At 42.3% G+C, this 17,171-nt stretch overlaps 1 protein-coding gene across 53 annotated transcripts in view; it reads left to right on the forward strand.

Annotated features, from left to right (window-relative positions):
- MELK (maternal embryonic leucine zipper kinase) overlaps nucleotides 1-17,171 on the forward strand; it is a 104,788-nt gene that overhangs the window by 62,148 nt on the left and 25,469 nt on the right. For 32 of the 53 annotated variants that reach the window (NR_046337.2, XM_011518076.3, XM_047424171.1 and 29 more), the window contains 2 exons: nucleotides 7,955-8,041; nucleotides 16,704-16,835. Coding sequence is in view for 52 of the 53 variants with exons in the window: in XM_011518076.3 (XP_011516378.1) it covers nucleotides 7,955-8,041; nucleotides 16,704-16,835 (219 nt within the window). In the remaining variant the exon portion in view is untranslated. The remainder of the gene's footprint in view (nucleotides 1-7,954; nucleotides 8,042-16,703; nucleotides 16,836-17,171) is intronic. The other 21 variants (XM_047424168.1, XM_047424180.1, XM_047424185.1 and 18 more) reach the window with 1 other exon arrangement.

Consider the following 17,171-nt stretch of genomic DNA (forward strand, 5'->3'; position numbering starts at 1 on the left):
AAGTACATTATGCTACTTCCTATTTAGTCACACAGAGTATTAAAAACGTACTCAGAAATGTAATAAAATTAATATATTTTACTGGTTTATCAAGGAAATTCTTAATTGAAACTGGCTTCTTTTCGAACTATGGGTATATGACAAAGAATACAATATTTTAGTACAGTTTGGTGCCACTGCATTGATTCATACTAAGGTGCCAGCAATTTATTTATTTAATTTTAATTTTTTTTTTTTTGAGTGGGAATCTCGCTATTATCGCCCAGACGGGAGTGCAATGGCACGATCTTGGCTGACTACAACCTCCGCCTCCCAGTTTCAAGCAATTCTCCTGCCTCAGCCACCCGATTAGTTGGGATTACAGCCGCCTGCTACAACGTTTGGCTAATTTTTGTATTTTTAGTAGAGATGGGATTTCACCATGTTGGCCAGGCTGGTCTTGAACTCCTGACCTCAGGTGGTCCGCCTGCCTTGGCCTCCCAAAATGCTGAGATTACAGGCATGAGCCACTGCACCTAGCTGCCAGCAATTTTATCACTGCATTTGTACCATCCATACAAATGTCAACACTTTGAAAAATGAAAAATAATATTATTATAAAAATAGTTTGACCTTGGAGACTCTCAGGCATCTGCAGACCGTGCTTTGAGAACTGGTCTAATATGCGTATATGTAAAAAAACATAAACAACACCAAGTGTTATTTAAGTTTAAACAATTTAAAAAATACTATTTCTACATTGTTTTTAAAAAATGCTTTTTTTTTTTTTTTTGAGATGGAGTCTCGCTCTGATGCCCAGGCTGGAGTGCAATGGCGCAGTCTCAGCTCACCACAACCTCCGCCTCCTGGGTTCAAGTGATTCTCTTGCCTCAGACTCCCGAGTAGCTGGGACTACAGGCATGTGCCACCATGCCTGGCTAATTTTTATATTTTTAGTAGAGACGGGGTTTCACTGTGTTGGCCAGGCTGGTCTTGAACTCCTGACCTGCCTGCCCTGGCCTCTCAAAGTGCTGGGATTACAGGCGTGAGCCACTGTGCCTGGCCTTAAAAATGCTTTTTTTCAAACAAATGGCCACTTGGTAAAAATGTGGATATTACTATAGGACTTGGATATTTTGTGTATTAGTTATTGCTGCATTAAAAACTACCCTGAAATTTAGTGGCTTAAAACAATAATTTGGCTGGGCACGGTGGCTCACGCCTGTAATCCTAGCACTTTGGGAGGCCGAGGCAGGTGGATCACCTGAGGTTGGGAGTTTGAGACCAGCCTGACCAACATGGAGAAACCCGTTTCTAGTAAAAATACAAAATCAGCTGGGCGTGGTGGTGCATGCCTGTAATCCCAACTACTCGGGAGGCTGAGGCAGGAGAATCACTTGAACCTGGGAGGCGGAGGTTGCAGTGAGCCAAGATTGCGCCATTGCACTCCAGCCTGGGCAACATGAGCGAAACTCCGCCTCAAAAAATAAATTAATTAAAAAAAAACAGTAATAATTTACAGTTCTGTGGACCAGATATTTGGGCTGGGTTCAGCTGGGCTGTTCTTATGTAGGCCTTACCTGGGGTCGTGGCTACAGTCATCTTGTAACTGGGCTGAATGGTCCAAGCCTCACTAGAAAGACTGGCTGTTTCCTGGGCCACATGTGTCCATCAGGCTAACCTGGACTTTTTTATGTAGCAACTGGATTTCTTTCTTTCTTTCTTTCTTTCTTTCTTTCTTTCTTTCTTTCTTTCTTTCTTTCTGTCTGTCTTTCTTTCTTTCTGTCTTTCTTTCTTTCTGTCTTTCTTGTCTTTCTTGTCTTTCTTGTCTTTCTTACCGAGTCTCACTCTGTCACCCAGGCTGGAGCAGTGGCACGATCTCTGCTCACTGCAAGCTCTGCCTCCCGGGTTCATGCCATTCCCCTCCCTCGGCCTCCCGAGTAGCTGGGACTACAGGTGCCTGCCACCACCCGGCTAATTTTTTGTGTTTTTGGTAGAGACGGGGTTTCACCATGGTAGCCAGGATGGTCTCGATCTCCTGACCTTGTTATCCGCCTGCCTCGGCCTCCCAAAGTGCTGGGATTACAGGCATGAGCCACTGCACCCGGCCAGCAACTAGATTTCAAAAGAAGAAAGAGGATAAGCCCTAGTGCTCTAGCATTTTTCAAGCTTCTGCTTGCATTGTACTTACTAATGTTCCACTGGCCAAAGCAAGCCATGTGACAAAGCCCAGAGCCACTATGGAAGGTGTATCTTTCAAGGTTGTACAATTCTTATTCCCTATTTATAGATAAGGGAACGGAAAAATGAAAAGCAACTATTTAAGATATAAATGTAGTGAGAAGAGTGGCATTGCTTTACATCTTTGCCAATTTCTTTGAAGTCTGTCTTATTAGAAGACAACTCATGTGCTTCTGCATTCAGCCTGTTTTGATAACATCGTTTTGATTGAAACAAATGAAGAAAATACAGCCTCACACAGATATGTAATTAGAAAAAATAGAAGTATTTTAATAGTGTTTCCAGATAATTGGGGATATTCTCTGATATGTCACCAAAACTTTTGCAGTGGACTAGGACATGTGCATGAATCAACACAACAGCTTAGAGGTGTGTCTCAGATATGCCACAGCATAGAATTGGTAGAGCTGTGGGGTATTTGCTTTCTGGAATAATCACACCAATGTAAATATCCTTCCCAGTAGCCAGCTCGTCTTGGAAAGATAGACTATACTTGCTCCAAGCCCTTTCTCACTGTTCTGCCCACTATTAATGGGCCATGTGGCCTGAGCTGAAATCACTCCTGATTCTCCTATGACTGTCAACTCCTAAAACTTCTGTTATCTAAATTCCCCCAGCCCTACATGACATCTTTAATATCTATTGAGCAAATATAACATAATTCTAACAGCAACCACACCAAGATCCTAAGAAAAGCAGAATGTGCAAGTGTCTGAGCAGTGTAGCAGCAGAACCAGGGAAGCTGTGATGTGCCCCTTGTGAGGTGGAGAGAGTGGGTGGTGCAAATGCCTGTGTTCAGCCATTGGGGGTCATCATTTCTCCATGTGCGGAGGGCTTTGCACATCTTCTCAGCCATGATCCTAATAGGATAGAATACATTACTGTTTGTGTTAGATGCCAAAATGAAGAAAGTCTCTGCTTTCTACAACCCCAAGAGTTTTTTTTTATTTGGGACACAGTATAAAGTAAAATATATAAAGTTATGAGTGTTCCAAAAGAGTATACAGTTTCCCTTACATCTTTTTTTTGTTTGTTTTTTTGAAATGGAGTTTCGTTCTTGTTGCCCAGGCTGGAGTGCAGTGGTGTGATCTCGGCTCACCGCAGCCTCTTCCTCCTGGGTTCAAGCGATTTTCCTGCCTTAGCCTTCCGAGTAGCTGGGATTACAGGCATGCGCCACCACGCCCAGCTAATTTTGTATTTTTAGTAGAGACGGGGTTTATCCATGTTGGTCAGGCTGGTCTTTAACTCCCGACCTCAGGTGATCGGCCGACCTCAGCCTCCCAAAGTTCTGGTGTTACAGATGTGAGCCACCATGCCCAGCCTCCCTTACATCTTAATTTAATAATTGCTACTATTTACTGAGCACGTAGAGTAGAATAGTGTACTATTTTAGTAAGGGCTCTCTGTATATTATACTGTGGTAAAATATAGGTAGAACTGTTAGGATAGTACCTTTAAGAGTCAGGCACTATCCTATGGGCTTTATGTTGTGTTAACTCCTTTAATCCATTTAATCTGTACGCCAATCCTCCGAAGAAGGTACTATTATTGCCCCTTTTTGCAGATGAGGCAACTGAGACACAGAATCATTAAGTAACTTGCCCATGGTCAAACAACGAGTAAGTGTAGAACCAGGATTTAAACGCACACCGAAGGGTTCTGGAATGGAATGGATCTGATAGGCTAGCTGATTCAAGCTCAGGGCCCACGTCCTGTGTATTTGCAGCCTTTGTGGCGAGCATTGCTTATCTGGTGTCTGTTGAAGTAGCTACTGGAGCAGAGTGATGGAGAGGTGGCATTGTGTTATGGTAGGAAAACCTGGGGCTAGGAATGAAAAATGCCAGTCTTAGGCAGATCACAGTAACTTTTCTGAGTCTTCATTTTATCACCTCTAATATGGGTATTCTAATGTCAATCTGTGTATGTTTGGGTCATGTTTTGCCATTTATAGAGTAACTTTACATGTTGTATCATTAATCTCTTTTGCCTGCCTTGCAGAGCTGTTACAGGATCAAATGAATTATATACAGGAGAGGCATAATGAATTGTTGTTGCTTTTTAAAGGATTTGCTTTTCTCTTTCAGTGTTGTGTTTCATCAAGAGTGAACTATTAAAAAAAATTCAGATTTCCTTGAATATTTAAGGTATAGATGCTGTCTGTTCTGTAACTCTACGCATGATCGCCTCCTACCATTTTCATACATAGTTCTGGTACCCAAGTATTGCATCAAATAGAAATTATAGTCAGTTTCATTTTCTGCCCTGGCGAACAGGAAATGTAGTAGGCACAGATAATCCAAAATAATTGGCTAGCTTTTGGTATGCAGTTTTGTACTTAATTTGAGTATGTGTGGCTGAGGATTCAGAGCGCTTTAAGTATTGATCCTCTTTGGAAGACACAGCTTGAGATTAATCATGTTTTTTAGACCCTTGGTATCTTTTCTACCACACTCATTTCATTGTTTCCAGTTCAGGAGCCCAGCAGAGATAGTAGAACCTCCTTCTTCCATCTCCTGCCTTTCTCACACATATGCCTTGTGGTAAAGGTACAGGCAGGAGGCTGCGGGAGAGAGGGGTTCTTTTACAGTTAAAAAAATATTTTTTTTTTACACTTAAGATGATGGAGGGAACCTCAAAAATTTATTTTCTTGCTTGAGCAGTGTTGACATCAACAAGAGGATACCAGGTATTAAGGTGTCTAGGCTTCTGAGGTTGAGACCATCTTGAGGGGAAATCTACAGTTCTAGGAGCGGTCATAGTCAAAGCAGCACAATGAAAACTTATTCTTAGCACTTTGGACTTTAACAGTACCACTAGTATAAACCTTTGTGGTCTCTACTTTGTAACCCATGAGGTTGTGCTTATACCAGTCAATAATGCAAGGCTCTCTCAGTCTGTTTGAGCTGCTGTGACAAAATACCATAAATTGAGTGGCTTAGAGAGAACAGAAATTTATTTCTTGCAGTTCTGGAGGTTGGGAAGTTCAAGATCAAGGCATCATAGAGCTAGAGTTCTGGAGAGTAAAAATAAAGAAAAAAAAGATCAAGGCACCAGCAGATTTGGTGTTTGATGAGGGCCCACTTTCTGGTTCATAGAATGGCTCTTTCTTGCTGTGTCCTCACGTGGTGGAACGGGAGAAAGGGGAAAGGCCTCTGGAGCCTCTTTTCTTTCTTTTCTTTTCTGTTTCTTTTTCTTTTTTAAAGAGATAGGGTCTCATTCTTTTACCTGGGCTGGAGTGCAGTGGCTTGATCATACCTCACTGTAACCTTGAACTCTTGGGCTCAAGTGATCCTCCCACCTCAGCCTCCTGAGTAGCTAGGACTACGCATGTGAGCCATCGCACCTGGCTAATTTTTGAATATTTTTTTGTAGTAATGGAGTCTTGCTGTATTGCCCAGGCCAGTCTCCAACTCCTGGCTTCAAGTGATCCTCCCACCTTAGCTTCCCAAAGCCCTGGGATTACAGGCATGAGCCATTGTACTTTGGCCTGGGGCCTCTTTTATAAGTGTAATAACCCCATTTATGAGGGCAGAGCCCACTTGTGACCTACTCACCTCCCAAAGACCCAACCTCCTAATACTATTACACTAGTGATTAGGTTTCAGCGTATGAATTGAGGGGAAAAATTTGTCTTTACTGTTTCTTTTCATGATGGCAGCCTTTCTCTTGAGCTTGTTGTTACAAGTGTGATGTTCAAAACAAGGGAAGCTCATGATATTGCCCTGCCTTGTGCTGGGCAGACCTCTCTTTCTTGTTATGTTTGGTTCTGAATACTTCACTTTGATGTGTAGTATCAACCTGGAGTGTGATCTAAAGAAAGGGCCAGAATAGTAAGGGGAGTTAATCATTAAAGTGGAGGTTGGCGGAACTAGAAAACGGAAGACTTGCAGAGGAAAGGTTGCTTATAATAGGAATACGCAAATTTCTGAAAGGCTCTTTTAGCACAGAGGAAATAGAATTATGACTGTTGGTGAAAATAACCAGTTTTTGAGGGCCTACTCTGTTGAGATGTTGTACTAGGCGCTTGCTCTATGTTGCATATATTGCAGGGCACATACCATCTCTCTCTAGCAGATGATGAAACTGAGACTCAGAGGTGTGGTCATGTTCAAGGCCGCATGGTTATTAAGTCCTGTTGCAATTAAAACTAAGGTCTGTCTAATTCCCAAGCCTGTTAGCCATCAGTTTGTACCAATTCCCAGTGGACAGAGATCACAGGGAGACAGACCTCAGGCAGCAGGAGGGAGATGCTAACCATTCCAGCTGTTCTGTGTACCCTGGAGAGGAGGCCTTTAAGCAGAACATAAAGCATCCCTCACTCGGGCTGCCATAAAGAGAGATTTTTTTTTTTTTTTTTTTTTGGAGATGGAGTTTCACTGTTGTTGCCCAGCCTGGAGTGCAATGGCTTGATCTCAGCTCCCCACAACCTCCGCCTCCTGTGTTCAAGCGATTCTCCTGCCTCAGCCTCCTGAGTAGCTGGGATTACAGGCATGCACCACCACGCCTGGCTAATTTTGTATTTTTAGTAGAGACGGGGTTTCTCCATGTTGGTCAGGCTGGTCTCCAACTCCCAACCTAAGATGATCCACCCACCTCGGCCTCCCAAAGTGCTGGGATTACAGGCGTGAGCCACCGCACCTGGCCTAAGAGAGTTATGTTGGAAAGATGAACTTTAAAGTTGTATTCCTCTGCTTCTCTTCCTGTGTAATCTTCTGAGCTCCCTTCCAGGTCCAGGCCAGGCTATTCCTGATTCCTGCCTTTTTGTTCTCAGTGATCCTTGCTTGGTTCTGAGAACCCATTTCCAGCCCTACCTTTAGTGAGGTACCATCATGTAGGGATTATTTGGATAATTTCTGTCCTTAAGCAAAATGAATTTTGTATAGAGGCTCTTACTTATATTCTTTTTTAAAGTTGTGGTCCAGCAAAATAACGATCGTGTGGCATCTATGGCACCATCGTAAAGGCTCCTTGAATTGTGCTAAACATAAACATAACCTGAGGTACCCTGTGCTCTACAAGTTTGAATCACTCTTTTACCAGTCTGTTGTATAGCCACTGATTTTAGATGCCTAGGTGGCTGCTCTTTGATGAAAATACCAATGCAGGTCTTGTGGTAGGGAAGGGGAGTATACAGTCCCTGGGCTGTACAACAGAACTTTTTTTTTTTTTTTTTTTTTTTTTTTTGAGACAGAGTCTCGCTCTGTTGCCCAGGCTGGAGTGCAGTGGCACAGTGTCAGCTCACTGCAGCCTCCGCCTCCTGGGTTCAAGTGATTCTTGTGCCACAGCCTCCCAAGTGGCTGGGATTACAGATGCTCGCCACCATGCCTGGCTAATTTTTGTATTTTTAGTAGAGATGGGGTTTCACCATGCTGGCCAGGCCAGTCTCAAACTCCTGACCTCAGGTGATCTGCCCGCCCCAGCCTCCCAAAATGCTAGAATTACAGGTGTGAACTATTGTGCCCGGCATTGTACAACCGAACTTTAACAACAGTTGCTCAGATGATGATGGGGATAAAGAGTTGGGAAAGAGCACATCTTCTTGAAATGCTTGCTGGAATATGCTTACTTCTTAAAAGATTATAGAGAATATTGATTCTTCCCCAAGAAATTGACAGATTCATGTTTTACATAATGATATTTGATTGTATAAAGTAATTATGCTGATTTTAAAATGTGAAAACATTGAATATATTTGTAATTTTTTGTTAATAAAGTGCATAATTTTTTTTTGTAGTTTATTCACCTCGATGATGATTGCGTAACAGAACTTTCTGTACATCACAGAAACAACAGGCAAACAATGGAGGATTTAATTTCACTGGTAAGAAATACAGCATGGGCTGGGCGCAGTGGCTCACGCCTGTAATCCAAACACTTTGGGAGGCCGAGGTGGGAGGATCACTTGAGGTCAGGAGTTCGAGACCAGCCTGGCCAATGTGGTGAAACCCCATCTCTACTGAAAATACAAAAATTAGCCAGGTGTGGTGGCACGTGCCTGTAATCCCAGCTACTTGGGAGGCTGAGGCACGAGAATCACTTGAACCCGGGAGGCAGAGGTTGCAGTGAGCTGAGATCACACCACTGCACTCCAGCCTGGGCAACAAGAGCTAAACTCCATCTCAAAAAAAGAAAAAGAAAAAAAATACAGCACCAATTTGAGAGTAGTATCTTTTGTTTCATTGTTCTTTATTTTATCAGTACATGAAAAATAGTATAGCATTTTCAGACCTGTGATTTTATTATGGGTACAAATATTGCATTTAAAAAATATTTACATATGATTTCCACACAGTCCTGATGTGTGCTAGATATCTTCTTTAAAAATGAACACTCCATACTTAAAACATTGATGAAGAAGAATTACAGTGAAAAAATAATTAAGAAACAACTGGCCGGGCACGGTGGCTCACGCCTGTAATCCCAGCACTTTCGGAGGCTGAGGTGGGCGGATCACGAGGTCAGGAGATCGAGACCATCCTGGCTAACACAGTGAAACCCCGTCTCTACTAAAAATACAAAAAATTAGCCGGGCGTTGTAGCAGATGCCTGTAGTCTCAGCTACTTGGGAGGCTGAGGCAGGAGAATGGTGTGAACCTGGGAGGCGGAGTTTGCAGTGAGCCAAGATCACGCCACTGCACTCCAGCCTGGGCGACAGAGTGAGACTCCATCTCAAAAAAAAAAAAAAAAGAAAAGAAACAACAAACTAGTGCACAAAGAATGGACAGAGTTCTAATTTTGACTACTTTAAAGTTCTCTAACATGCAACTGGGTTTCTGCTGTGGAAATGAGGTAAACACAAAGCAATTTTCTTTTCACCTGAAAGCAACAGCAGCGTCACGTCACCCCTAAGTGGACAAACCAAATACCATGAAAGCATTATCATGATTTCTGGTGTTGGATTATTTTGGCTCTTTCAGATGCTCAGTCTCTAGATCATACCTGTGTTTTGTGTGTGTGTGTGTGTGTGTGTGTGTGTGTGTGTGTGTGTGTTTTAAGAGATCAAGGCAGTCACAGCTGTCTCTAATGTGAAGGGTGACTTGTACCTCACTTTGTTCCTGGCCCAGTACTATGTCTTCTATCACCTGTGATTTATGTTTGCTTTATCTGTTCTTTAACTTGCAAGGTGGAGTCCTTAAGCAATTTTTTTAAAAAATTAAACAAAGCTTTGCTAAGGCACAATTCTTTTCAGTAAGGAGAAAATATAAAGGAATTCTTCTGAATGACATAATAAGTAAAGACACACAGAATGTATCTGGAAATGGTAGTATAATTTACTTTTTCATGGATAATGCCTTTAGGGAAATAGTAAGACTTGGGAATTGCTGTAAGATTTGTGTGGTCCTCAGTCTTTCATTAGTGAAAATTTGAAGTTTCCATTTAAGCAACCTGAAAAAATAAATTGTAGGACATTTTCTTTGGGATAATCTTTAATGGAAGACTATACTTTAGATACTGAAATTTTAAAAAATGTTATTATAGAAAAATTTACCCACCAAAGTAGAGAGAATAGTATAACAACACTGAGTTTCCATGTTCTCATCATTCAGTTCCAATAGTTAATAACATTTTGCCAATTTAATCTATATCCTACCACTTTCTCCCTTCTTCCCTTTCCAGCTGGGATATTTCCACGTAAATCCCAGATAGCATGTCAGTTTATCCAGGACAAATTGGTATGAGATCTACAAACTTTAAAAATCTGAATCTTAAAAGTAACATACTTAAGCCGGGCGCGGTGGCTCATGCCTGTAATGTCAGCACTTTGGGAGTCCGAGGCGGGCGGATCATGAGGTCAGGAGATTGAGGCCAACATGGTGAAACCGCGTTTCTACTAAAAATACAAAAATTAGCCGGGCGTGGTGGCACGTGCCTGTAATCCCAGCTACTCGGGAAGCTGAGGCAGGAGAATGGCTTGAACCTGGGAGGCAGAGGTTGCAGTGAGCCAAGATCACGCCACTGCACTCCAGCCTGGTGACAGAGTGAGACTCCGTCTCAAAAAAAAAAAAAAAAAAAGTAACATATTTAGAGTTTCAATAATCATTGAAAAAGTCTTTAAAATGGTATCTTTTATGACGTCTCTACCTATAATTTTCAGACTTAAAAGTGAAATGGAAATACAAATTATTTGCTTTCCTTCTGGTGCATAAAACATAACAAAGCATAGTAGAAGTTGTTTCCTGGTGTTACAGTTCTCTAAAGATCTTCTCAGTTATTCTGAAAGTTAAGCATGACCAACATCAAGAATGTAGTGAGGAAAGTAATAGTTTTTCTTCCTTTGTACTCTTTTCTCATTCTTAAATCCCTGTTCATACTTCGTTGAGTCCCAGGGATGAGTAGGTTATAGGCTACTCACTCTAGATCAGAGATTCTCACCTTGGCTGTATAGTGGCATTTCTTGGGAACTTTAATTCTGATGTTTAGGTCTCAACCCCACAGATGATGATTCAGTTGGTCTAGGGTATAGCCGAGGCATGAGAATTTTTAGAAATCTTCCCAGCTGACTGTGGTACGCAGCCAGAGTCGAGAAGCAGTGCTCTAGATCCTTGCTGTTCAAAGTGTGGCCTAGGACCAGCAGCAGCAGCATCCAGGTGCTTTTTAGCCGCGAAGACTCTCAGGCCTCACCTCAGACCTACTGAATCAGAATCTGTGTCAAATCTCCAAGTGGTTCATATGGTTAGTAAAGCTTCAGAAGCATTGGTCTAGCTCAGTTCTCAACCAGGAGTGATTTTGGCACTCAGGGGGCATTTGGCAGTGACTAGAGACATTTTTGGTTGTCGTAACTGGGGTTTGTGTATGTGTACTAATGCCATCTAGCGGGTGGAGGCCAGGGATGCTGCCAAACATCCTTCAATGCACAGAAGAGCCCCTCACAACAAACAGTTATCCAGGTCAGATGTCAATAGTGCCAAGGTTGAGAAACCCTTGTCTGGGTAGCTCAGAGAATTCATACTGGCTCTACATACTTTCCAATTTGAAGAGCCTCAGGAAAACCAGGTTTGAGACTAGCCAGGGTCTGTTATGTTTTTCTGTGACATCCTGAGAGCTCTGCCTTCACTTTTGGGGCTGATTAGACAGGACAGAGAGAGATTAGTTCTGTGTGATCCATATGCTGGTATGGTGCTGCTGATCTTTGTGCAGAGAGAGAGAGAAACAATATTACTCTCAAACATTCAACTTATAAGAACTCCCACTTTTATATTATATACAGGAGCACTCTGAAACTGCTTTCTCTATGCAGCGGTGAGCCTCCTATGTCTCATGATTTTGAGTGATCTCATTGTATTCCTTTTGAGATTCCCAACAGTGCTTTCCTTACTGTCTTCCTGTTCCTCCAGCCCTGAGTGGCTCTGGATTGTGGCAGCAGCCAGTCCTCTGCTAGGGGACCTTCACTAAGGGTCACATGTGTGTTCGAGAACCTATTCAGTCCAGGACAGATCCATTTTCCCCACCCCTGTGATGTAAACACCCATGTGTGTAAAGACTGAAGGCCTCAGGAGGAGGGTCAGAGGAAGGGTAGGGGCCACTCCTCCGTGTCTGTGCCCCTCTGCACTAGTAGCTGCCTCTCCTCAACCCAGGTGCCAGGACACCTCTTTAACATTTAACTGGGGATTTAAGAATGTTTTTAGTTTTCTAGAAATGGAACTTTCTCACAGGTAACCCTATCACTTTACTTTCAGACATTTGACTTTCAAAAGAGGGAATTGCCTAAAAGATAAGGGAAACCTTTGTCTTAGACTTGTGGATTGACATCACCTGAAAGCATAACTAATGTGTTGATTTATCTGTTATTGAACACAGAACTCTCCTGTGCATCTTATAATGAGAAGTATACAGTGACACTGGCCAGAAAGTTATGAAAAAGATGCTTTTTTTGCCTAGGGAAAAGGAGGGTTTAGAGGATGGTTGTAGAAATCCTAGGCATGTTTAGGAAACTCCATCTAAAACTCTTAGCACTATCCAGGAATTGTTTACAATGCCTGGGTTATGCCATGCCATCATTGATAAGAAAGTGGCAACTTGTTTCTTAGCCATTGTCTCTAGTCAGTTTATGACATCTCTTTCAAAAAGGTGGCTATCGTACATGGGGCTATCATAGATGTGGGGTGGGAAAAAGTCTTTAATGTAGTTTTTGGAAAGTGGAGAGTGATTATAAGTATATATTTTCCACCCCACCATAGTTTCCCAGCCACCTTCTCCATGAAGCCTCTTCTTTTCTTTTCTTTCTTTCTTTCTTTTTTTTTTTTTGAGATGGAGTCTCCCTCTGTCGCCAGGCTGCAGTGCAGCGGCAGAATCTCTGCTCCCTGCAACCTCCGCCTCCCGAGTTCAAGCAATTCTCCTGCCTCAGCCTCCCATATAGCTGGGATTACAGGCGCCTGCCACCACACCCAGCTAATTTTTGTATTTTTTGTAGAGACAGGGTTTTACCATGTTGGCTGGGCTGGTCTCGATCTCCTAACTTCAAGTGACCCACCCGCCTCAGCCTCCCAAAGTGCTAGGATTAAAACATGTATGAGCCACTGTGCCCGGCCATGAAGCCTTACTGTCCTTTCTTTGCCTCACCCTGTTTGGATTAAAGGCAACATTTCATAATTTATGACACTATTTTATGCTTCCCCTACTAGATTGATTGGGCCATTTATGCAAATTTCAAAGCATATACTATGATCGTGGCCATCTAAGTTATTAACTAATAAAATTCATTACTAAAAACAGAGTTGGTAGTTGACTTTTGAGTCATGTACTTTGTGAGGGGGCTACATAGCATGAAAGACTATTCCGTACTGTTAAAAGTTAACACTTTTGTAGGGCAGATAGCCCCATAGTTTTCTCAGTACATTATTTAGAAACTTTCATTAAACATAGTGGATTGAACAGCTAAGTTTACGTCGAACACTTCCTAAAACCTTAACAAAAAGGGATAAAAAGGCAAAATATTTACAAGCAGAATAAAAGGGGAGACAAAGGGATGTCATTAGAAGTTTGGAAGATATAGGTTAGTGGTATAAGTGGTAGTTGTCAGAGCATTTTGGAGAAAGCTGAAAGCTAAGTGCTTGCAGTGAGAAAGGCATCAAGCAAACTGATGAGAGCTCCAGAAAGGCTCAGGAATCAGAGGTACCAGGAGCCTCTGAAGTCAGGGAAGTGAAGAGGAAAAACAGGAAGATGGGTTAGAACCCTAGATTCCTTTCTCTACCTGTGCTGCATAACAGCCTCCTCTTCCGCATCCTGGCAGAAGACTGGAGGTCACAAGGCATTCTTGTACCAAATACAGCTCAGATGCGGATGATGAACAATTCTGAAATGGATGCGCAAAGTCTTCATATTGAACAGTGCACCACCATCTCAAATTCCCTTCCCTATTCAACTTTGAGAACGCTGAAACCAGGATTTGTATCCTATTTGCAGTGATGGTGGGGAAAATATTGGAAGATTTATCTCCAGGGAAAAGCTAAGATAAATATCCTACTATATTAGTGGTTGGGAGTTCAAGTTCCTGTCCGTTCATCTTAGAGAGGAGCCTTCAAGGTATTGAGCAGCCCCATCATACACATAGAACCTCTCATCAGCTGTGTAACGTAATTCTTCACTTTTAAGTAGAAACAGACAACCAAAAATCACTAGAAATTTGAGGAAAACTTCTAACATGAAAGTCGGAGATCAAAACAAATGGAGTAAGGTGGGGAGAGGAAAGAAGAAAAAGTAGATACTGAGAAAAAAAAACCCCAGATATGCAGGGAGCGGGAGAAAATGGCTAAAAACTGCTAATTAATATTCTCAGATAAGAGAAGTGATTTTCATTCTTGACATAGGAATAAGATGAATAAAAATGAACATTCCAAGAGATAGCTCTTGAAAATCTAAAATGTGACCACAGAAATTAAAAGCTCAGTAAAAGTGTTTGAAAATGAAATTCATTTGAAATCTTTTAAAAGTAGAACCTGGTGGGCTAGGTGCGGCGGCTCACACCTGTAATCCCAGCACTTTGGGAGGCCAGCGCGGGCAGATCATGAGGTCAGGAGATCGAGACCATCCTGGCTAGCACGGTGAAACCCTGTCTCTACTAAAAATACAAAAAAAATAGCCGGGTGTGGTGGCGGGCGCCTGTAGTCCCAGCTACTCGGGAGTCTGAGGCAGGAGAAGGGCGTGAACCTGGGAGGCAGAGCTTGCAGTGACCCAAGATCGCGCCACTGCACTCCAGCCTGGGCGACAGAGCAAAGTAGAACAGCTAGGCACGGTGGCTTACGCCTGTAAACCCAGCACTTTGGGAGGCTGAGGCGGCAGGTGGATCATTTGAGACCAGGAGTTCGAGACCAGCCTGGACAACATGGTGAAACCTCATCTCTACTAAAAATACAAAAATTAGCCAGGCGTGGTGGCATGTGCCTGTAATCCCGGGTACTCGGGACCCTGAGGCGAGAGGATTGCTTGAACCCAGGAGGCAGAGGTTGTAGTGAGCCGTGATTGCACCATTGCACTCCAGCCTGGGCGATAGAGCGAGACTCTATCTCAAAAAAAGGGAAAATAATGCAAGAAGAAATATTCCAGGCCGGGCACTATGGCTCACGCCTGTAATTCTAAAACTGAGAGGCCAAGATGGGAGGATTGGTTGAGGCCAGGAGTTCAAGATCAGCCTGGGCAACATAGTGAGATCCTATCTCTATTTAATTTAATTTAATTAAATTAATTAATTTATTTATTTTTGAGACAGAATCTCGCTCTGTCGCCCAGGCTGGAGTGCAGTGGCACGATCTCTGCTCACTGCAAGCTCTGTCTCCCAGATTCACGTCATTCTCCTGCCTCAGCTTCCTGAGTAGCTGGGACTACAGGCGCCCACTACCACGCCCGGCTAATTTTTTGTATTTTTAGTAGAGATGGGTTTTCACCATGTTAGCCAGGATGGTCTCGATCTCCTGACCTCGTGATCCACCCGCCTCGGCCTCCCAAAGTGCTGGGATTACAGGGGTGAGCCACCGCACCCGGCCTCTATTTTATTAAAAATTAAAAAAAAAATTTAAGATTAAAAACAAAAAAGAGAAATATTCCAGAACTGAAGAATATGAGTTTTCAAGAATGAAGAGGCCTAACCTGGGATGAAACAGTAGATGAAAACAGATTCACACCAAGGCCTGTTCTAGTGGAATTTCATAATAAGATTCAGGAAGTTTTCAAAGATAAAAATGAAAGTTCATACAAAAAGGCTGGAGAATCAAAACCTAAATGACTATAGGTTTTTCAGTAGCTGTACTAGAATCAAGAAGAGTATACTACCATCAAAACTGCGAAGATTATTATCAACCCAGAATTCTCTGCTTAACCAAATCAGAATCAATTGTGAAGATAGAATGTAGTCACTTATCAGACATGCAAGATCTCAAAAAATTTACTTCCCATGCATGCGCCCTCAGGAAGTCACTGGAGGATGTGTTCCACAAAAATGAGAGATTAAACCAAGAAAGAAGAATACTTAGGATCTAGGAAACTGGGGCTACATTGTAAGATAGAGGTGAAAGGAATCCCTAGACTGACAATTGAGTAGCTGGCTGAGAAGCCGGTCCAGAGTGGAGCAGAGGATGCAGACATCAGGTGGAATCTCTCTAAGTGGGGAAGCAGTTAGCAGATGTGTGTGAACATGTTGAGAGGAGGTAAAGTGTTGGAAAGGGTGGAGTTCAATTTGTAAGGAATAACTGACTTTTATTTTTATCTTCAGGAAAAACAAAGGTATAAAAAAATGGAAATGCAAGAATAGCACCCTGTGTGGTTTAGCTGCAGAGCTGATATTCGGCCAGCATGACCACATTGGTTGTTAAAATATTAGTGTATTTATATACTGACTGGTAAATAACCACTATCTTCAGTGCCCTCCATGTTGCCCTGTTACTTCCCTGGACACTACTCCCTCCCCTCTTCTCACAATTAAAAGATTAATAATTGGAAAGGCAGGCGTCTCCCAGGACCCTACTGACCTCTTGGCCTCTATTTTGATGGTTGATGTCAGGGTAACAATTAACTATTTTGAACATTATCCCTACTTAGTTGTGAATGCTATTTACATAATCATAATAATGCAAATATTAACTTAGCTAAACATTGTGATAAAATTATAGTAGGAGGATACAGGGAGGAGATGTGTGGGAAAGGGAGGGAGTTGCAGTAGAGTTAAATTCATATTTCTCATACTAGGAAATTTATACATATTATCTGAAGCTGAAAAAAATTTTAAGCTATGTAAGCATTTAGTTTGGAAATACAGAATTAATAGCAGAAGAAATAGCTAAAAGTGTTTGAAAGTTGTTCCTTAGGGGGAGTGGAAATTGTATGTGTGTGGAGGTGTGGTGCACTGGTTGCTGTTTTTCATCATATGCTGTGTAAACCTATTGGCTTTTAAAGTTCTGAATGTTACACTGAAGAAAAAAATTAATTAAAGATAGAACATCATTTCCACAAACAAGTAATCTTCTAACCAACTTGATTTTCTTTTCCTTTAGTGGCAGTATGATCACCTCACGGCTACCTATCTTCTGCTTCTAGCCAAGAAGGCTCGGGGAAAACCAGTTCGTTTAAGGCTTTCTTCTTTCTCCTGTGGACAAGCCAGTGCTACCCCATTCACAGACATCAAGGTAAGTGTTACTGCCTGTTGTGTCTTGCCACGTGCCCTCCCTGTTCCTGAGTGTGTATACCACTGGGAAGGTAAACTTTCCGGTGTCAAGGAGTCAGAGGCAAGATGTTTTATGATTTCAATATTTTTGATGAGAAAAATGGGAAGTTCTGAAGTTGAACTCTAATTTTTTTTTTTTTTTTTTTTTTGAGATAGAGTCTCACTCTGTCATCTAGGCTGGAGTGCAGTGGCATGACCTCAGCTCACTGCAACCTCTGCCTCCGGGATTCAAGCGATTCTTGTGCCTCAGCCTCCCGAGTAGCTGGAATTGCAGGTGTGCATCACCACGCCTGGCCAA

Source organism: Homo sapiens, chromosome 9, assembly GCF_000001405.40.
Source record: "Homo sapiens chromosome 9, GRCh38.p14 Primary Assembly".
NCBI lineage: Eukaryota > Metazoa > Chordata > Mammalia > Primates > Hominidae > Homo > Homo sapiens.